Source organism: Homo sapiens, chromosome 6, assembly GCF_000001405.40.
Source record: "Homo sapiens chromosome 6, GRCh38.p14 Primary Assembly".
NCBI lineage: Eukaryota > Metazoa > Chordata > Mammalia > Primates > Hominidae > Homo > Homo sapiens.
Genome location: NC_000006.12, coordinates 156,837,003 through 156,854,942, shown reverse-complemented (window position 1 = coordinate 156,854,942; position 17,940 = coordinate 156,837,003). Strand labels below are relative to the sequence as shown.

Below are 17,940 nucleotides of genomic sequence, written 5' to 3'. Positions count from 1 at the left end.
GTAAACAGGCCAGAACAATCAACAGAGGCCCATGTTACAACTTAACACATTTTGTTCATTTATTCTTATGATCATATTTTTGTTTTAATTATTTATGGTAATTACAGCAGTTAATGTGCTGTAACATTTTTGCAAAAGAAATGAACTCTCAATAAAACCTTCCTAAATCTTTCACTGTTTCATCTGTGCCCTATATATTCAAACACAACAAGCAAATAGCACAGTGTTAGCTGGTATCTAGAGGTGGACACAATTCCGCGTGGCAGGATGGCCGGGATGGGTGCGGGGGCACACCGCGACGGTTTACAGCAGCAGGCTGTAAGCACTGTGGAACAGGCCACACTTCCTCAGTCCTGAGACAATTTTGTCAATTTTGAAAGCTGACCCAACATGTTCCCTGGGTCTAGAGAGGCTATTTAATAAGCTTAACATCCCAGAGCCTGGAGGAACCAAGCAGACACCTGAATCTTCCGTGCTCTGCTCCAGGACAAGCCCCTACCCCTGCTTCACAGCCCCAAAGGGCTTCCTGAACTGCCTCAGGTTATGGGTCATAAGAAACCTTAATTTTCTGAATTCCACAGAAAGTCCCCAAGTACAAGTCAATAATCACTCAAAACCAAGGAAAACAGCCTTTCAAGCTCATTCCAGCTCACCCTGGCAATTCCGTTCGTTCCTTAGTGCCCCCTGCCAGAAAAACAGAAAGAGGAGGGGGTAGGAACAGGTACTAGTAGCTAGCTTTGGTTGATAAAAGGAAATTGTTAATGTCACAATTCACAACTCCCTGAAGAACGACATGTTTTATGAAAACATTCATAACGTTCTCACCAAAAAAAGTTTGTTTTTTAGTGAGTGAAAACATTAAATTATTTACAAGTATCACCTCATTTAACCTCACAAAAATTTATGGAGGGCTGGGCACAGTGTGGCTCATACCTGTAATCCCAGCACTGTGAGAAGCCAAAGTGGGGGATCACTGGAGCCCAGGAGTTCGAGACCAGACTGGGCAACATAGTGAGACCCCATCTCCACAAAAAATGAAATTAGCCAGCATGGTGGTACATGCCTGTGGTCCCAGCTCCTCAGGAGGCTGAGGTGGGAGGATCACTTGAACACAGGAGTCCTAGGCTGCAGTGAGCCGTGGTCGTGCCACTGTACTCCAGTCCGGGCAACAGAACAAGGCCTTATCTTAAAACAAAACTAAAAACAAAACGTATGGAGGCAGGTAATACTATGAGACCCATCTGACAGATGCAGAAGCCATCTCTTCGAGGTTAGGGCTGAGCCTCAGAGCTCAAAGACAAATAGGAAAGAGTACTGTGCCATAAAGGTGAGACCACAGAGAACAAGAGAAGCTGTGCTGGCAGATGGAGGAATCAGAGTCAGACATTTCTACACCTTGCCCCCTCTTCCACCACAAAAAGCACACGTGGGAGGAGAAAAAAGCACCTGTCCTGCAGCCTCCAGCTACTGCTCCTACAGGGTGACCCAGGTTAAGCCACTGCCTCCCTGGAAAGGAAGCTTGGGCCTCAAACTGACCACCCTAGAGGACTGGGTCTACCATTAGGATCCATTTTCATGCCCGCGGTGGGAAAATACTCATCCTCAGGACAACTCTAGGGCTCTGAATAAAAACACACAATAAGATTGTTTTAAAGAATATATCCAAATATTTCAAATTCATTTTTACATAGACTTTCATCTAGTCTCACAACACATTTCAATACAGGCATACTTAAGTACTATAATCCCAATGTGTTAAGTAAGATTTAAAGCACAGAGTTAAACCTAGAATTCTTAAGTCCTAATTCCTAATCCAGTCCTTAAGCACTGTAAGATTTTAAAGTACCACCCTATACCATGGTCTTAGTAATTCCACCAGTCAAACCGATCACTGTATGTGCAAATGATGCATGTAGCACATTCCTTAAGGAAGCACAAAGCTTCCAGCCATTATCCCTATCAGCATTATAACAGGCTACTCCACTTCACAGCAAGCTCACCAAGACATGAGGGAAGCTTTGGGTTTTCAAACCTGTTTGTTTAGTAAACCTTTTGCTCTCCCAATTAAGTGAAGGAGGAAGAAATATTAAGTTATAAAACAAAACTAAACATGAAACGAGAGGCTCCTACTTTCAGAGTAAGTAAGATAGCTGTAGCTGGGGTCGCTAATATCTGAAAGGTCTAAAATAGCATAGAGTTCACAGGCACGGGAAAATATAATACAAGTCATTAGCTATTAATAGAGCCAGAGAGCCCACTGTTGTAATTAAATCATAGTTTAATCCTCTGTATAATCCTCTGAGTTAGTCTTGACATGCTTCCTTGTGGTTAGTTTTGGAAAAACATCTGCTAATGGTAAAATTGGGGGCTCAGAGGGGGAAAAATTACATCCTTCTGGTTGGAATAGTCATATGAGTAAGTCAATGAAAACACTGAATTAATGAAGGTCCAAATCACTGGCTCTTAATTTTTTTTTTTTTTTAAGAGACAGGGAAACAGAGTCTTCTTGCTCTGTTGCCCAGGCTGGAGTGCAGTTGCCTCATCACAGCTCACTGTAACCTCAAACTCCTGAGCTCAAAGGGTCCTCCCACTTCAACCGCTCAAGCTTGAGACTACAGGTGCACATCACCACGCCCTGCTAATTTTAAAAATTTTTTCTGTACAGGGAGGTTTCGTTATGCTGCCCAGGCTGGTCTCAAACTTCTGGCCTCAGGCAATCCTCCCACCTCGGCCTCCCAGTGTGCTAGGATTACAGGTGTGAGCCACTGCGCCCGGCCTCAAATTTTTTTTTTTAAGTCAAAAGAGACTTAAACACAGAAACAAACTAAATTTGTGAAGGCTATTACAATTGAACAAAATATTCTGATTCGAAGTCCCTATATGCTCTTGCGAGAGGTAAAGAATAGAAATATAACTTTACCCAGTTAGGAAGGAAATATGTAAGTAACAAGTATTTGTACTGAAAGCATCCCTTTTCTAGACCAGCCTTGCGCTGAGATAACAATATCTCCATAATACCTTTAAAGAATGAGAGGCTGATTCAAGCCACAGTCCACAGGGATCAATTTACTGCCAGTCAATTTGCTAAAGACCATTTAGCTAGCTATATTCAAGCCTAGAATCTTTTAAAAAGCCAAATCAGCTCTGAGTATGTGCTGGGCTTTTTCATTATGTTAGTCTTCTACGTGAAGCACTCGACCAATAAATATTCAAATAAATTAACTGTGCCAGTAAAAAGTTTACTGTACTTAGTCATTTGAATGCAGAAATAGTAATTTTAACAATCTGTGCACAATTCCATGTTACGTTGGGCAGGCCCAGTTCAAACCCACTCCTGACACCCTACAGCTATAAATTATTTCTGGAGCTTGAAAGTGAAAGACAGGCCAGGTCTGAAATAGCACAACAGTTGGACAGTTCCAGCTTCAAGAAGACAAACCCTGTAATAACCTAGATCCAGAGGCTTCAGAAGGAGTCTAACTCACTGTCCAAAAGTGGGGGGAAATCCCTTCCAGAAAACATTCTTCTTTTTAAAAACGTACTCTTCATTGTTATTTCCTAAATATACAATTAAACATTGGAGTGTCAAAAGCAAAGCAGAAAATAGAGAATGCTAAATAAATAACCCGGAACAAGTTGAACCCTTCACGACTGAATGGTCTTGGAGAACAAATAGGGTATCTTCCTCCTCGAAGTCTTAAGATCTGGGTCCCCTTTCTAGAAGCAGCCCCTAGTGCTTGCAGGGGGGCTCTGGCACACACAGAGAGAGGCCAAGGTAACTGAGTCTTTCCCTAGTTAAGTCTCCTCCTTGGGGACATTTTCTTCATGTAAATTAGCAGTGTTCAAAGAGCCAGACCTGGCTCATTCCCCCACGGTAATAAATAATATAACCACACAGAACATTCAAAAACACTGCCCAATGCTGTTAATAAATACGGGACAAATACGCAAGGTTCAAAGATTAATGAAGCACCTCGTTCCCTTCATACAACCACTTGTTATCTGTGAGTGGAAAGATGATGGGGGAATTTTTGTGACTTTCATATTCCTTTACATTATCTGGACACTTTACAGTAAATACTTATCATTTCTCCTGTCAAGGGGAAAATATTTAAGCCATTTTCCTTTTTAATTTTCTCACTCAATGTGGTTTCAAAGAACGGATAGCAAGTTTAACTGCTTCAACCAGGTTAGTGGTCTTCAAAAGGTAACCTTAGTAAAATTTAAATAGACAATTCTTTCTTCCCAGAAGAAATTCTGAAAGAATATTAGTCTAACATATTTTCAGAAAGAAAAAAATGCTTAAACTGCCTATACATTAAATGCTTGTTTGAGAAATTACACTAATTACAACGAAGAGCCACTCTGTGATCATTAAAAATTACTATGCGTTCAGTGCAAGGGGTGATTCCAGTGTTTCCACTTCCCCATTCTACTTTCTATTACTTTTCATCCTTTTAGGCACTTATGTCTTAAAAGTGGCATAGCCTACAAAATTAGGAATTCAAAATACAAATTCAAAAAAGCCGCTTAATTTTAGAAATAGGTCCTCAAAAAGAAAAATATTTACACAATTTCATGTGAGAATTCAATCCTAAATAAGAATACTGGCGTCCAAAATCACCCAAAATGCAATAATAAAAATACAGATTCATATTGTCCAGTCAAAAAGAGTCTCCAATTTAATCATATATTGTAGCATTCTCAAAACTTCCTATCATTCCGTCCCATCTTTTCCATTTTCAGAAATGAAGTGATAATTCAAATGGGAAACACAGTAATTGTGTACAGTGCAGCCTGTCAATTGGTCCAGTTCTCTTCTGCACATCACCTTAAATACGTGCAAGCCAGATATGCTCTCCCGGGGCTGGGCGGGCCTGCATCTAGTAACTATGTGCTTAAAGTTGTCCAGGGCTACTAGATCAAAGACAGCCGTGCAAGAACACTTCCAGCTCTAACAGGTGCCACTTTGTGCAAAAACATCCACAGGAGTATTACAAAAAAAGACAGCACTGGGTTTCAGAAAGCCCGGTGTCAAAAAGGTGCTTTCATGCATTTTTAATCCGAGAGAGAAAGTGAACAATTGTCCTTCAATAATCAGTGTCAGGGCCAATGACACGGCTTCCCCTCCTTAGGGTCCACCCAAACTGTGACAATTGGCTTACCAACTACGGTCCTTAAGGGCTTTAAAAACAAAAGAAAACCAAAAAAGCTATCCTCCCCAGCACAGAAAAGCACCCAAATATTTGTCTTTTTCTTCTTTTGCCCCTTCCATCTAGTAATGAACAAGAAAAGAAGGAGAAAATGAATGTGATTGTCTGCTCTCTGGGACAGAAAAACATGCAAAGACTGTAACGATTTACACAAAGAGGTGTTTAAATTTTGACTCTTTTAGACTACGTAAATGCAGATGCTTCTCTCTATGAATTAATTAACATTCTGCTATTTAATATTTTAAGTCTTAGCAGCGGGTCCCACATGTTGGCTGACTGTGGGGTATAGCCTGAAAATTATTTGTAATGACAATTCTGTAACATTATCCCTCACTTTACCAAATTCCTTACCAATGTTTAATAACAAAACAAAGCAAGGTATCAATGGCATTTATTACTTTAACCCTATGATTTAGTATATAAAACTCTTCCAGGGAAGAGGGCATGAAGGAAGGGAGACAAAAATGGTTTTCTAAGTACTCCCAGGGGAGGAGAGGGAAGAACCCTGGTAACACGTGAGTACCTTCAGAAGAATCGAGGCAACAATTTAGAATAAAAAATAGCATACATAATCTCAAGGAAATGCTGGACATAATTTAGGAAAAATGCCACTGGACACAGAAGACCAAAAATGAAGACTAAATGTCCCCAAATTTTTGACATTTAATAAATATGTTTCTCCAGGAACCTGGTGCTCAGTTAATTAGTGAAAGTATATGGACCCAGGCGGTGAAGTTTCTCCCTGGCAGAAGGGGCAACAGGCTTCAAAAATAATGGGAAATTTACTCAAAGTTGTCTCCTTGGTTATTGTAACAAATATTTTACCAAAAGATATCAGAGAAGAAAGGGACTGCCATCAGATGACTCGTCTTTTATTTATGATGACAGAGCTAAGACTTAGCGAGGCAGCAGGGCCTCCCCACACTTCTGGTCTACCAAGCCAGAGAAGGCCCCCCGGCACCTCCCCTCATGCTAAGCTCCATTCCCAGGCCAGACAAGGCTATAAAAAGCCTGGCCTTGGGCCAGCTGGCAGACCACACACCGGGTATTTTTAACTTAAAGGGGCCTGAGGATCAGGCCAAATCCAGGGCACCAAAAATGCACAGAGAAGAATAACAACCTCCAGCCAGGATGGTGGTCCACATGGAAGATCCTTTTCCTGAGTTATCCTAATTACTAATGGGTGTTCTAATCGTGATGAAGACATTAAAAGATAACATTTGGGAAAGCTGATAAAAGTGGGTAGATACTTCATTTTGGAAGTGCACGATCACTTTGAAAGACCATATGTAGAGTTACATAAACAGCAATGTGAACACCAAACACTGGCCAAATAAACTGAACTCTTATTCTTTATTCCTGACACATAAGGCTACAGACTTGACTTTTGTTATAATTACTCTAACAGTTTGCTGTTGTTGTTTTTAGTTTCACACTGGTCTTGGCACTGGGCCACACATACAGATACTGTGAAGCTGTTCTCTTCAATAAAGCTCAAATACAGCAACAGTACAACTGAAGGCTGAGGAGCTAAGGATTATGCTACAATGACTAACTTCATTTTCTGGGTTCATAAGTATTAATCGGAAATTTCTTCCCGTTTCATTCTTTATTGTTAAAAATTACACTGAAACACAGACATTAGTTATATTTTCTGCCTTAAATGAGCACCACTGCATCTTTCCTTGAGGACTGAAGACTGGCAAAGTCTCCATCACGATTCTAAATATGAATGCTTAGTATCACCTGTCCAGTGACAGGGCAAGGGGAAGGCCAGGTAGGTGGGGTCTCAATTACAACACCCTTGCTCTGACTGTTTTATTTATTGGATTCTCTGGTGGGCTTCCAGGGAGGAGGTCGAGTTGGGTTCTGTGACTCCTGGAGAGCAAGCCACATCTGCAGAGAGCCGGGTCTACAGTCAGAAATTTCTTTTCGAACTAAATATAACCTTAAAATACTTTACTTAACTTGCCTCTTTTTCTCTCCTAAAGGCAAAGGATAACCAGAAAAATCATGTTTACCTGCAGACGTGTGTTAATAACTACCAAATGTAAACACATTCAAGATATCCTTAACATTTACAACACTAGGATCATCTTCATCCTCATTAAAATATATCTGCTCTCATCTGCAAGAAACCTCCAAAACTCTCTTTCCTTCCCATCGTCTATCTCAGCTGGACTCTCCTCTCTTACCCTTCACTGGGGATGTTCTCTACAGACCCAGACCTCATTTTGCCTCTGGATGGTGGGAGAGCCTGGCCGGCCTTCCCACTTCAGATCTCCCATTCGCTGGGTCCTAAACACAGCTGGGAGACCCTTTCCCCTGAGCAGCACTTCCTGAGTTCCCTGAAGCTTTTCCTGGCGAATCTAAACAAAGGCCACCCCACCCTTACATGGCCTCCTCAGACCAGGTTCCCTGCCAGAGACGCTCCAGTTGTGCTGTTTAATTCATTTATTCTTAGGTTTATTCTTAGTCTACCAATTCCTTGAGACACTGAAAACTCTGGCACATTACCAGATAGCACAGTATTAAAACCTATTAGAAAACAGGTTGGTTTAAAAAAAAAAACTGCTTATTAAAGATGCCTTTGCAGAGGTTTCTGGTAAACAGACAGATTAAATGCTCATGTTTCTCTCTACTCTTCCATGGGACCCCATTAAAATGACAGTAAAGAAATAAAAACAAATACCACAAGGGCAAAGAAAACATGAGGTGAGATGGTAACAGATAAGAAAGGTCAAAAAAATTTTGGAAGGAGAAAAGCAGAAAGACAAGTGATAATTAAAGTTTTAATCTGTTCTAGGTGACAGGATAAGAAGCAAGCTAATTAAAGTGCAGAACCCCAAAGACAGGAATCAGAGGGTGGCGGGGGGCTGGGTAAACAATCTGTAGGGAGCAATTCAGAGATCCCCCTTCCCAATCCCCACCTGTCCTGTAGGAAGTCAAGAGGACTTGCCATCTGGAGGGGCCACAGCAGGCGAGTCCATGGAAAACGGGGACTCAGTTAAAACACGTAACAGGCCCGTCCCCCAGTCAGCCTCCAGCTCTCCAGACACCCTGACTTCTCCTCTGAGAGTCAACGATGAGTTAGTTACTGGGGAGGGGGAGATAGCAGCATGTTAGGGTCTGCCAACAAGATGGCCCAATCCTCTCCCCACCACCGCAGCCCCGTCCACACACACAACGTGCCGATCGGTTCTCAGAACTGGCTGTTACAGATGTGCAGAAAGCGAAGGACCACCAGACACCTCAAGAAGGCCTCTGGCCAGGCGCGGTGGCTCAGCCTGTAATCCCAGCACTTTGGGAGGCCGAGGCGGGTGGTTCACGAGGTCAGGAGTTTGAGACCAGCCTGGCCAACATGGTGAAACCCCGTCTCCACTAAAAATACAAAAAAAAAAAAAAATATTAGCCAGGTGTGGTGGTGCACACCTGTAGTCCCAGCTACTCAGGAGGCTGAGGCAGAAGAATCACTTGAACCCAGGAGGCGGAGGTTGCAGTGAGCGGAGATTGTGCCACTGTACTGCAGCCTGGGTGACAGAGTGAGACTCTGTCTCAAAAACAAACAAACAAACAAAAAAAATAGCCTCCAACCAGAAAGACCGTATAGGTGAAGGGCTGAAAGGAAATATGGACCAGGAACACTGCAGAGGAGCCCTTCAAAAAGAATCCCAACATTGTCGTCGGCAAGATAAACCATTGTAGCCACGAAATAAGAGTAAGATGGTATAAAAAAGAAAAATTTGGTGAACAAAACAAGTTCATGGAAAGTGAAACTACAAAAACAGAACAAACATCTGCCAGGAACTACAACAAAAAAAGCAATCAGATGAAAGGAGGATAGAAAAAAAGTTTCAAAAATTAAAGAATTAATCCAGGACTTATAACACCCAACTAATAAGGTTCATAGATAGTAAGAACAAATGAAATAAAGATATGGTAATTATCAAAGGAATAATACCCTCCCCTAACGAAGAAAAAAATAGCACCAAGTTTAATACTGAATGAGTCTAGCAAAATGGATGGAAAATACCAACTCCAAAGTTCATCCACATTTTAGAAATCAAGGAGATCAAGTTTCTAAAGTCTCCAGAGAGAAAAACAATCAGTGACATACCAAAGAAGGGGCCCTGGACTTCTCAACAGACATGCTAGAAGCTCAGAGGACAGTGGGGGAACAACAGTTTTTGAGGGAAAATTATATCCAATCTAGAATTCTACACTCAGCCAATCCACCCATTAAGGCCACCTTTCTGACAAGCAGAGACACGCACATCTCCTGCACCCTTCCTACAAAGCTACTACAGGATGAACCCTACTAAAACGAGGATTACATAAAGACAAGACATGGAATTCAGAAAACAGGGTTTGAGGTCAAAGTAATTTCAAGAATGGCAGTTAAGGGATGCTTTACTCCGAATGCGCAGCGGGCCAGGAGGGTAATAAAGTACAGAATGCAGAATGCGGCAGGTGGCTCCCGGAGGGATTCCAGCTCTGACCAGGAGATCACCACTGCTGCTGAAAGCCACACAAAATTTAAAGAACAACATGCAAAGTGCTTACTTCCAAATAAAAGTCCAGTATGGCTGGTCTAATTAAAAGAACTTAAGCCACCTGAATGCATCCCCGGCTGAAGATGTCTCCTAAATTACGGAGACAGAGCTTTTTACATGTGGACATCTCCCCAGACACGGGAAGGCTATTCAAAAGATGATGGTCATCCATGAACATGAAAAATTGTTCACTCAGAGTCTAAGTAACTAATGGGTTCCACCATCTTGAGAGGAAGTGCACCGTTCTATCAGAGCTTGAGGATAAACTGGTGATGTATACATTTCTTAAAACGTAAAATAATGGGCAGTTATCAACTCCTGGATAACAGAAAGTTGTACAGTAAGGAAATATACTTGCAGTCCATGACTCAACTACAGACAGTTATTTTATAGTTACATTAACATAAACACTGAAAGTTGATTTAACCAAAAGTTATAATATGGAAAGATGATAGAGGGAAAAGGAAATACAGGGCAAGGCAGTCAGTTTTTATTCAAAACTTCACTTCTTTACTTATTTCCCTATCATCCTTCACCAGGTTAAACACACCAGAACAAACACTCAGAGTGTTGAGTATATTGCCTGAACATTACTTTAGATTTTTGGCAAGTTCCTATTTCCAAAGGCAAAAGTCACCAGCAATGTAGACTGCAAAGCAAAATGTTAATTCTTTATATATAAACTTAACTGCCATAGAGGTGCTATAATTGCATGATGCACTCTGATACAGAAGAAAGTAAGGTTAATAGAAATCATATACCAATTTTAAAAAGTCTACTTATCAAAACAATGTTTAGAGACATACTGCACTTCCATCCTCTCTGGATACACAGACAGAGTAGGAATTTTCTTCACTCTGGAAGCCTGAGCGCTTGCTCCAAGTATGAAGAAACAGTTTCTCTTCTTAAACAAAACAAAACAAAAAATCAAACAAGATCCAGCCAGCCTGTAAGCGGCAGCCCTGTGGCTTTCTGAACTGATCCATCGAAGCACCAAAGCAGAACAAAGATGAAAGGAAAATTTGGAAGCAAGAAGGGGAGAAAGCTTGATTCTATGCTCATAACCATGTGTAAACTGAAAATGTGAAAAATTCTGTAAAATTCACAAAGACCCCTTTACAATCTAATTGAACTTGAAAAGCACACTCTACCTACTCCCCAAGAACACATGCCTCTCTCCCCAGACCCAGCAAACTCCTACAGCAAGATCCAGGTCTAGGGGCACCTATTCCCCACCCCATGCAGCTTCAGGTGTTCCCAGAGTATAGTCCATAGATCTTGACCCAGCACTCCTCACACTGCATCCAAGTACCTGGTACGTGTCTGCTCCCATGATGTACTTTGAGTTCACCCACTTAGGGCTACCAGTAAACATCTGATGACAACTAAGTGAGCAAACTGTCAAAGACCTTAATAATATTCTCTCAATTTATTCGACCAAAACAATAGCTATGGATAGCAATGGACACATGAGATAATGGCATTTATCTAACTGCAAAATACCAATTTTTAAAATTTAGTAAATACATATTATTATTAGAATCAGTCTGGATTCACATATACAGCCTAACACCCCCCCTACATTCCTGTCCTTATCCCAGCCCAGGTGTGCCCCTCGGTGTTACCATAGCCCCAGGGTAAACATCCCTACCTGTGCGCACTACTCAGCATATCTCTTTGCAGAGTGTCCCTGCCGTGGTCCTCTGGAGCAAAGCCCCAGTTACGGCTGTCTTGGTATTTCCCCATGACTAGTACAGGACTGAACAACTGTAGACATTGAAAATACATGTGCTGAGTTAAACTCAAAGTAAGTAAGCTTAACTTACAGCATGAACTGTTTTTCTTTCCAGTGAAACACTTTTTAATTTAAAAATTGTATTTTAAAACTTTGCATACTACCATATATATAAAATAATACTACTCGTCATAAACAGAAGATTACCAGAAAAAATGAATACCATGAAGACAATACAATAATGGTTACATTCTAACCAGATATTGATGCTGCCCAAGGTATAGACACAGGCCTGTTCTTCAGAAAAAGGAAATGGGGTGGGAGGCACTATGAAGTGTTGGAAGGGTGCTACCGCGTACTAACACCAATGAGAGAACAACTACCCTACTCTAGAACTCCAGGTTATGTAATGCTGTGTCTATGTGCCACCCAAAATGACCTTGCCTAACACCAGTGGAATGTGTTGCACACACAGCAAGGCTGGTCTGGAGGATCTTTAAGGCTACTATCTAATAGAAAGGCAGAATTCTCTACTTAGAGTTTGTATCAGCTTGGGCAAGCTACCTAACCTCTGTTTCCCCACTGGCAAAGTGAGTAGTATTACTTACCTCATGGATTTGGCGAGAATTATAGGAAATGATATATGAAAAGGGTTTGGCAAGATTCCCTGGCACTTAAGAGTCTCAGTAAATAACAGACCAATGATAAAATCCTGTTTCTAGTGTAAAATGGTACAGCCACTATGGAAAATGGTTTGGCACTTCCTTAAAAAGTTAACATATAGAATTACCACATGATCCAGCAATTCTACTCCTAGGTATATACTCAAAATAATTGAAAGTAAGTATTCAAACAAATACCTGTACACAAATGTTCATAACAGCACTATTTACAATTGCTAAAAGGTGGAAACAACCCAAATGTCTATCAATGGATGAATGGATAAACAAAATGTGATGCATATATCCAACAGATTATTAAGCCATAGAAAGGAATGAAGTGCTGGAACGTGCCACAAGAGATGAACCTTGAAAACAGTATGCTAACTGAAAAAAGCCAGACACAAAAGGTCACATATTATATCATTCTATTTACATGAAGCATCAAAAACAGGTAAATCCAGCGGTAGAAGGCAGGTTAGCAGTTGCCTGGGGGGAAGAGGGACAACAGAGAGTAACTACGTAATGAATCCAGGGGTCTCATCTGGGGGTGGTGAAAATGTTGGAACTAGACAGAGGAGGTGGTTGTACAACACTATTACTGCAGTAAACATTATTGAACTGTACATTTTTAAGTGGTTAATTTTATGTTATGTGAATTTCCCCTCAAAAAAATTCCTCTAAGTGTGATAGACGTAGTAGGTAACATTCAATTTTCAAATTGTTAAAGGTCACAAAAGACTTTACGTGAAACGAATATTCAATGTCAAAATGAGGCTACTTTAATTATAATCAGTCTTATTATTTAAAAACTCAAAGGAACTCCAGTGTCAGTTACAAGGATTCCAGCTTTACCAGAATCATAAAACAGTGCTAGCGTGCGCCCAGAGTTCAGGCGCTAAGGAACTGAAATGCTTGTTATAGCACTTAGTAGGCATGTAAATTTGAACAGCCTGAGTAACCCCTCCCCTTAGCCTCCTCATTTGTAAAATGAGGATGACTATATAACAATGCCTGTCTCAGAGGCTGTTATGAGGACTGGGTGAGTTAATCCATATAAAACAAGCAAAACAAGTAAGTGCCTGACCCAGAGTAAGCCCTCAATAAACATGAGCTACTATTACTATTCATAAAATGGAGATAAATAGAAACATGGCAGGGATTAAAGGAGAACATCCATGTAAAAGTACTTAGCATAAGACCTGGCACAGAGATTGCTGTTATTGTTACTGTCATCCAGAGGCAACTTCTCATATTTACAAATAAGAAATTGGGTCCAGAGAGGAGACAATTGTGATGGTGACAGTTTACATGAAGGCACTAGATTCCTGTCATCATCATCATCAAAATTATATGTCTATCAAAGATTCTCAACTAGAATAAAGCACACAGGGATGATTTTTAAGAATTCAACCTAAATTTCATTCCTCTACTCCGAGGTGCAACTCTCATTCCAGCCGTAGCCATGACCTCTGCTTTGGAAATGGGCTACGATGCAGTGTATGCATAATGGCAGCAGCCCCCATAAAGCACTGTGAAAATCAAGTCTGGGTCCAAATGATCAGCGACAGAGAACTAAAATGCCATCAAAAGCCCTTTCCGTGATCCCAGCACAAACATGGATGTGAACTGTGCTCTCACTACAGAGGCTCAAAGCCCATCTTCCAGGCCCTGTTCTTCCACCACATGTGGTAGAACTCTCTTCCCTCCAGCAGCAAATCCCTAACAGAAAAACATCTGTTTTGTATGTACGGCATCCTAACTACTTGGGGACTTTCTTCAGTAAGCACTGTTGAATGACTGGTGTTGGGATGAAGAACCTAGCTCCCATCACAGGTACACCAAATCCAACTCAACCTTCTCCAGACTGAGGTATTACACCCAGTGCAAGGGATCATTCTGAGACATAATGGGCCTTAGAGCAGAGTAGCAGCCATCTCCAATTTACTCAATGGGGTTAGAATCAGAGAGGAAGAAACACAGACCCCGGACATGACACAGCAAGACAGCAAGACAGAAAACCACTCAGCTAGAACAATCTCTCAGGCATCAAAACTTCCTTAGGAATCTAAAAGCAGCATTAAAAACACAGCCCCATAGCTGTCTGCAGGCTTTGTTCTCAGAGCACCTGGGCACCGGGATTCTAGTGAAAACTATGAAAGCTTTGGAGAATGAGCCTAATCTCGGAGCGAACCATGGGTGGCAGATAACACGGCTAAAGCACACAGACATTTTTGCATCAAGCTGGACAGATTTCACTGGCCAGAGTCTAGGATTCGGCAACTTCTTCATTAGTAGTTTGGAAATGTTTGTGAAATGCCATGTACGGCTCTAGACGATGGGTCCACACCCGTGGAAAACAGTCCCTGCCGGCCTAGGCCATATGTTCTAACGGGAGGATCAGACAAGTGAGGTTCAGGAGGGGATAAGAGAGCTGGAGAAAACAGAACAGGGCAGGAGGCAGTGGGAGTGTGCAATTTTACTTAAGTCAGAGAAATGTCTCAAGGAACTCAGATAGCAAGCCCTGCAAGACTTCCCAGCAGGAGGAAAAGGAAACGCAAAGGTCAGAACAGATGAAAAAGGCTGAGAAAAGCCAAGAAAAAGATTTAAAGGCTGAGAAACAGAGGAGGGGTTGTGGCCCAGACGGTGGGAAGGAAGAAGCTACCAGGTATTGAGACAGGAAAACTACAGGAGGCGACACTGAAGAGGGAAATTTCTACACAAGAAAAACTTTGGAACTGTCGAGAACAATTCTGTGTTCCCTACAAAGAGTTAACAACCACAAAGTTCTGCCTCCGAAATTTAGAAATCCGAACTCAAATTCGCAGCCTCTCTTGCAGCCTGCGTGCATTCACGTGACTTAAATTCTTTGTTAGATCATAGCAGAGTTTGATTTGGAAGTAAGCACACTGCATGATGCTCCTTGCCAGACCTTGGTGGCTTTCAGCAGCAGTGGTGATTTCCTGGTCAGAGCTGGAATCCCTCCTGGAGCCTCATGTCTCACTCTCCACTGTGTGCTTATCACTCTCACGGCCTGCTGCGTATGTGCAGTGAAGCACCCCTTAACCGCCATTCCTGGAAGTGTGCTGTGATACATCAGATGCCATGAAGACTAAGGGCCAGTGATGTGACTAAGTTATCACTCTTCCCATCCTTTTATTTTGACGCCAAGGAGGAAGAAGAATGGGTGAGAACTCAGCCAGAGACACTAGGGGAGAAAGAGATTAGCTCTTCCTGGCAGCTGAAGGGGATTCTAGTCTTTCCTCCTCTCCCCAACTGCTCAGTGATTTGAATGTATCCCCTAAATTTCATGTGTTGAAAATTTAATCTCCAAATTCATATGTTGACTGGAGGTAGGGACTTCAGGAATTAATTAGATAAGGTCATCAGAATGAGGTTCCCTACAATGGGACTCAAGGCTTTATAAGAAGAGGAAGAGAGATCTGAGCCAGCACGCTACTACCCTCTCACCCTGTGATGCCTTCCACCACGTTGTGAAGCAGCAAAAGGCCCTCACCAGAGGCCAACACCATGCCTTTGAACTTCTCAGCCTTCAGAACTATAAGAAATAAATTTCCTTTCTTTATAAATTACCCAGTCTGTGATTTTTTTTACAGCAACAGAAAAGAAACTAAGACACTAACCATCAAATTTTGGCCAATTACTGAAGAGTAAGACCTTGTCATCTCCATGACCCCTAACGAATGGCACAGGACCCACAAGTAGGAAGAAAAGAAGGCAGGCCCTATTTCTCCATGAAGCCCAGGACACTGAGGAGAACCTCCAGAGATGTAAATCCTTAAGATGTCTGGAAAATGACTATTGGGATGCCTGAAGATCCTACTGGAAATCTCAAGGTAATATACTAATTGAAAAAAAGGGAAGCCTCCTTGTTGGCTGACCCTTTTAAGAGAGTATCTGAGGTCACAGATCCCATAGGCCAATAATTATTCTGGGCTTTACCTTTTCCCAGTTCTCTTTGGAAACAATGATTATGATACTGATTATAAAGAAACATCTAATCCTTACTTAGAGCGGTTTTTTTTGTTTATTATTATTATTATTATTATTATACTTTAAGTTCTAGGGTACCTGTGTACAACATGCAGGTTTGTTACATAGGTATACATGTGCCATGTTGGTTTGCTGCACCCATCAACTCATCATTTACATTAGGTATTTCTCCTAATGCTATCCCTCCCCCATCCTCCCATTCCCACCGACAGGCTTCGGTGACTTAGAGCGTTTTAAGAGCTCTTGCTTTCAGGTACGCTCTCGCTATCGTTGGCAGCTCAGGCTGGAAAACCATCCCTGCACAGCTGTCTTTTCTGTGGTGCATCTCAGACTGAAGCTTTCTTCCAAAAGACGTTTGTCTCCAGCTCTCTTGAGGACTAGCTACTACAACTATCCAAGTGAGGCTGGTTATACCATGTCTCAGGACCATTAAGTAAAACTTAATTACCTCAGCAATGACAGGTTTTTGCATTTTAATTCTAATACCTGCGTATTTTTGCTATTAACATTAGTCTGACTTTGTTTCTGAATGTTTGGTGTTTTATAGATCTTGACTTGGATCCTTGCCTTTGACTAACCCTGAAGAGCCAATTCTACTGGTTGGTTTGCTTGGTAGTTATTTAAAAAAAATAAAATAAAATAAAATAAGCATGCTCTTACCAAGTCAATATCAATAAAGGGAGATGAATTTGGCTCATTCTTTGGAATATGGTCTGCTTTCTAAATTAAACACACTTCTCCATAAGAATTGGGAAGCTGGGTAACTCCTGCTGTTTATCTAGTGACCAAAATTTTGGATTGGGGCTATTTAAGCAGGCAAGGGATGTTTGTGTTATACACGCACACTACCCACATTCAGATCTCAAATCCAGGACGTCCCAAACATTTCTAAACTTGAGTCCAACTGCAGAGTTGCTCTCGAGGCCTGAGGAAGCCTGGATTAAGCAAGGCTCTCTGGCTCTGCGGAGGAGAGCCAGATTATAAAGCTGCTGCTTCTTTATAATCCCCTACTTGCCTCACATGCTCCCACCCATCTTCTTCCTCTGCACCCTCTCAGCTTAAGAGTTTTCTTAATTTCATTCACAACTACAGATTTAACTTTTAAAGTTCCTTTTCAAAATTATAATAAGGGCAAATAGCTTTAATAAATTTATTACATGTAAAAATAATCAAACTGCCATAAAGAATTTTTTGCCATTAAGAATTTAACTATTGGCTGGCTATTAACATAAAAGAAAAACTTTTTACCTTTAGAAAAAAAACCTTTTTAAAATACAAAAACAAAGCCATCTAGCCTACCTCATGAGAGTTAAAGAGTTAAGGTAATGCACAGAACATAAATCTTGAAACGTGTTTCCATCCGGACTTCACTTTATATAATCTGTCCCAATGTTGTTCAATATATACTTGTTTTCAGAACTACTTAGAAAGTAGCAATGTCTTAAAAATGAGTAATTGCTAGATCTCTCTTTGCTTCCTTTTGTGATTCCAAGAATGTCAACCTTAAGATTTTCTACTTATCAAAAAGGACAGACTGCACTCTACACATCTAACACATACCAGGTTCTTGCAGAACAAAGACTTACATGAGAATACATTCATTTAAAAAACAATAAAATTAAGAATTAGAAAATAATTTATTAGACTGATACCAACAATTTGCTAATCTTTGAAGAAGAAAGAAACACCTCTTTCTCTTTTAAAAAGAATGTGGGTCAGTAGTTATCTTAATACAATTTGTCAAGCATCAACCCATACATTTCACA

General features: G+C 41.1%; 1 protein-coding gene across 36 annotated transcripts in view, besides 2 other annotated features; it reads right to left on the bottom strand.

Moving 5' to 3' along the window:
• The window catches only part of ARID1B (AT-rich interaction domain 1B), a 434,754-nt gene that overhangs the window by 355,837 nt on the left and 60,977 nt on the right, over window positions 1-17,940 (bottom strand). The gene's annotated exons all lie outside the window — the stretch shown is intronic.
• Window positions 1,167-1,862: an enhancer, noted in NCBI's record as "OCT4-NANOG-H3K27ac hESC enhancer chr6:157174215-157174910 (GRCh37/hg19 assembly coordinates)". NCBI's record gives its function as "activates a minimal SCP1, AML or CMV promoter by ChIP-STARR-seq in naive H9 embryonic stem cells {active_cell/tissue: H9 hESC(naive)}" and the evidence as "EXISTENCE:reporter gene assay evidence [ECO:0000049][PMID:30033119]".
• Window positions 1,863-2,560: an enhancer, noted in NCBI's record as "OCT4-NANOG hESC enhancer chr6:157173517-157174214 (GRCh37/hg19 assembly coordinates)". NCBI's record gives its function as "activates a minimal SCP1, AML or CMV promoter by ChIP-STARR-seq in naive and primed H9 embryonic stem cells {active_cell/tissue: H9 hESC(naive and primed)}" and the evidence as "EXISTENCE:reporter gene assay evidence [ECO:0000049][PMID:30033119]".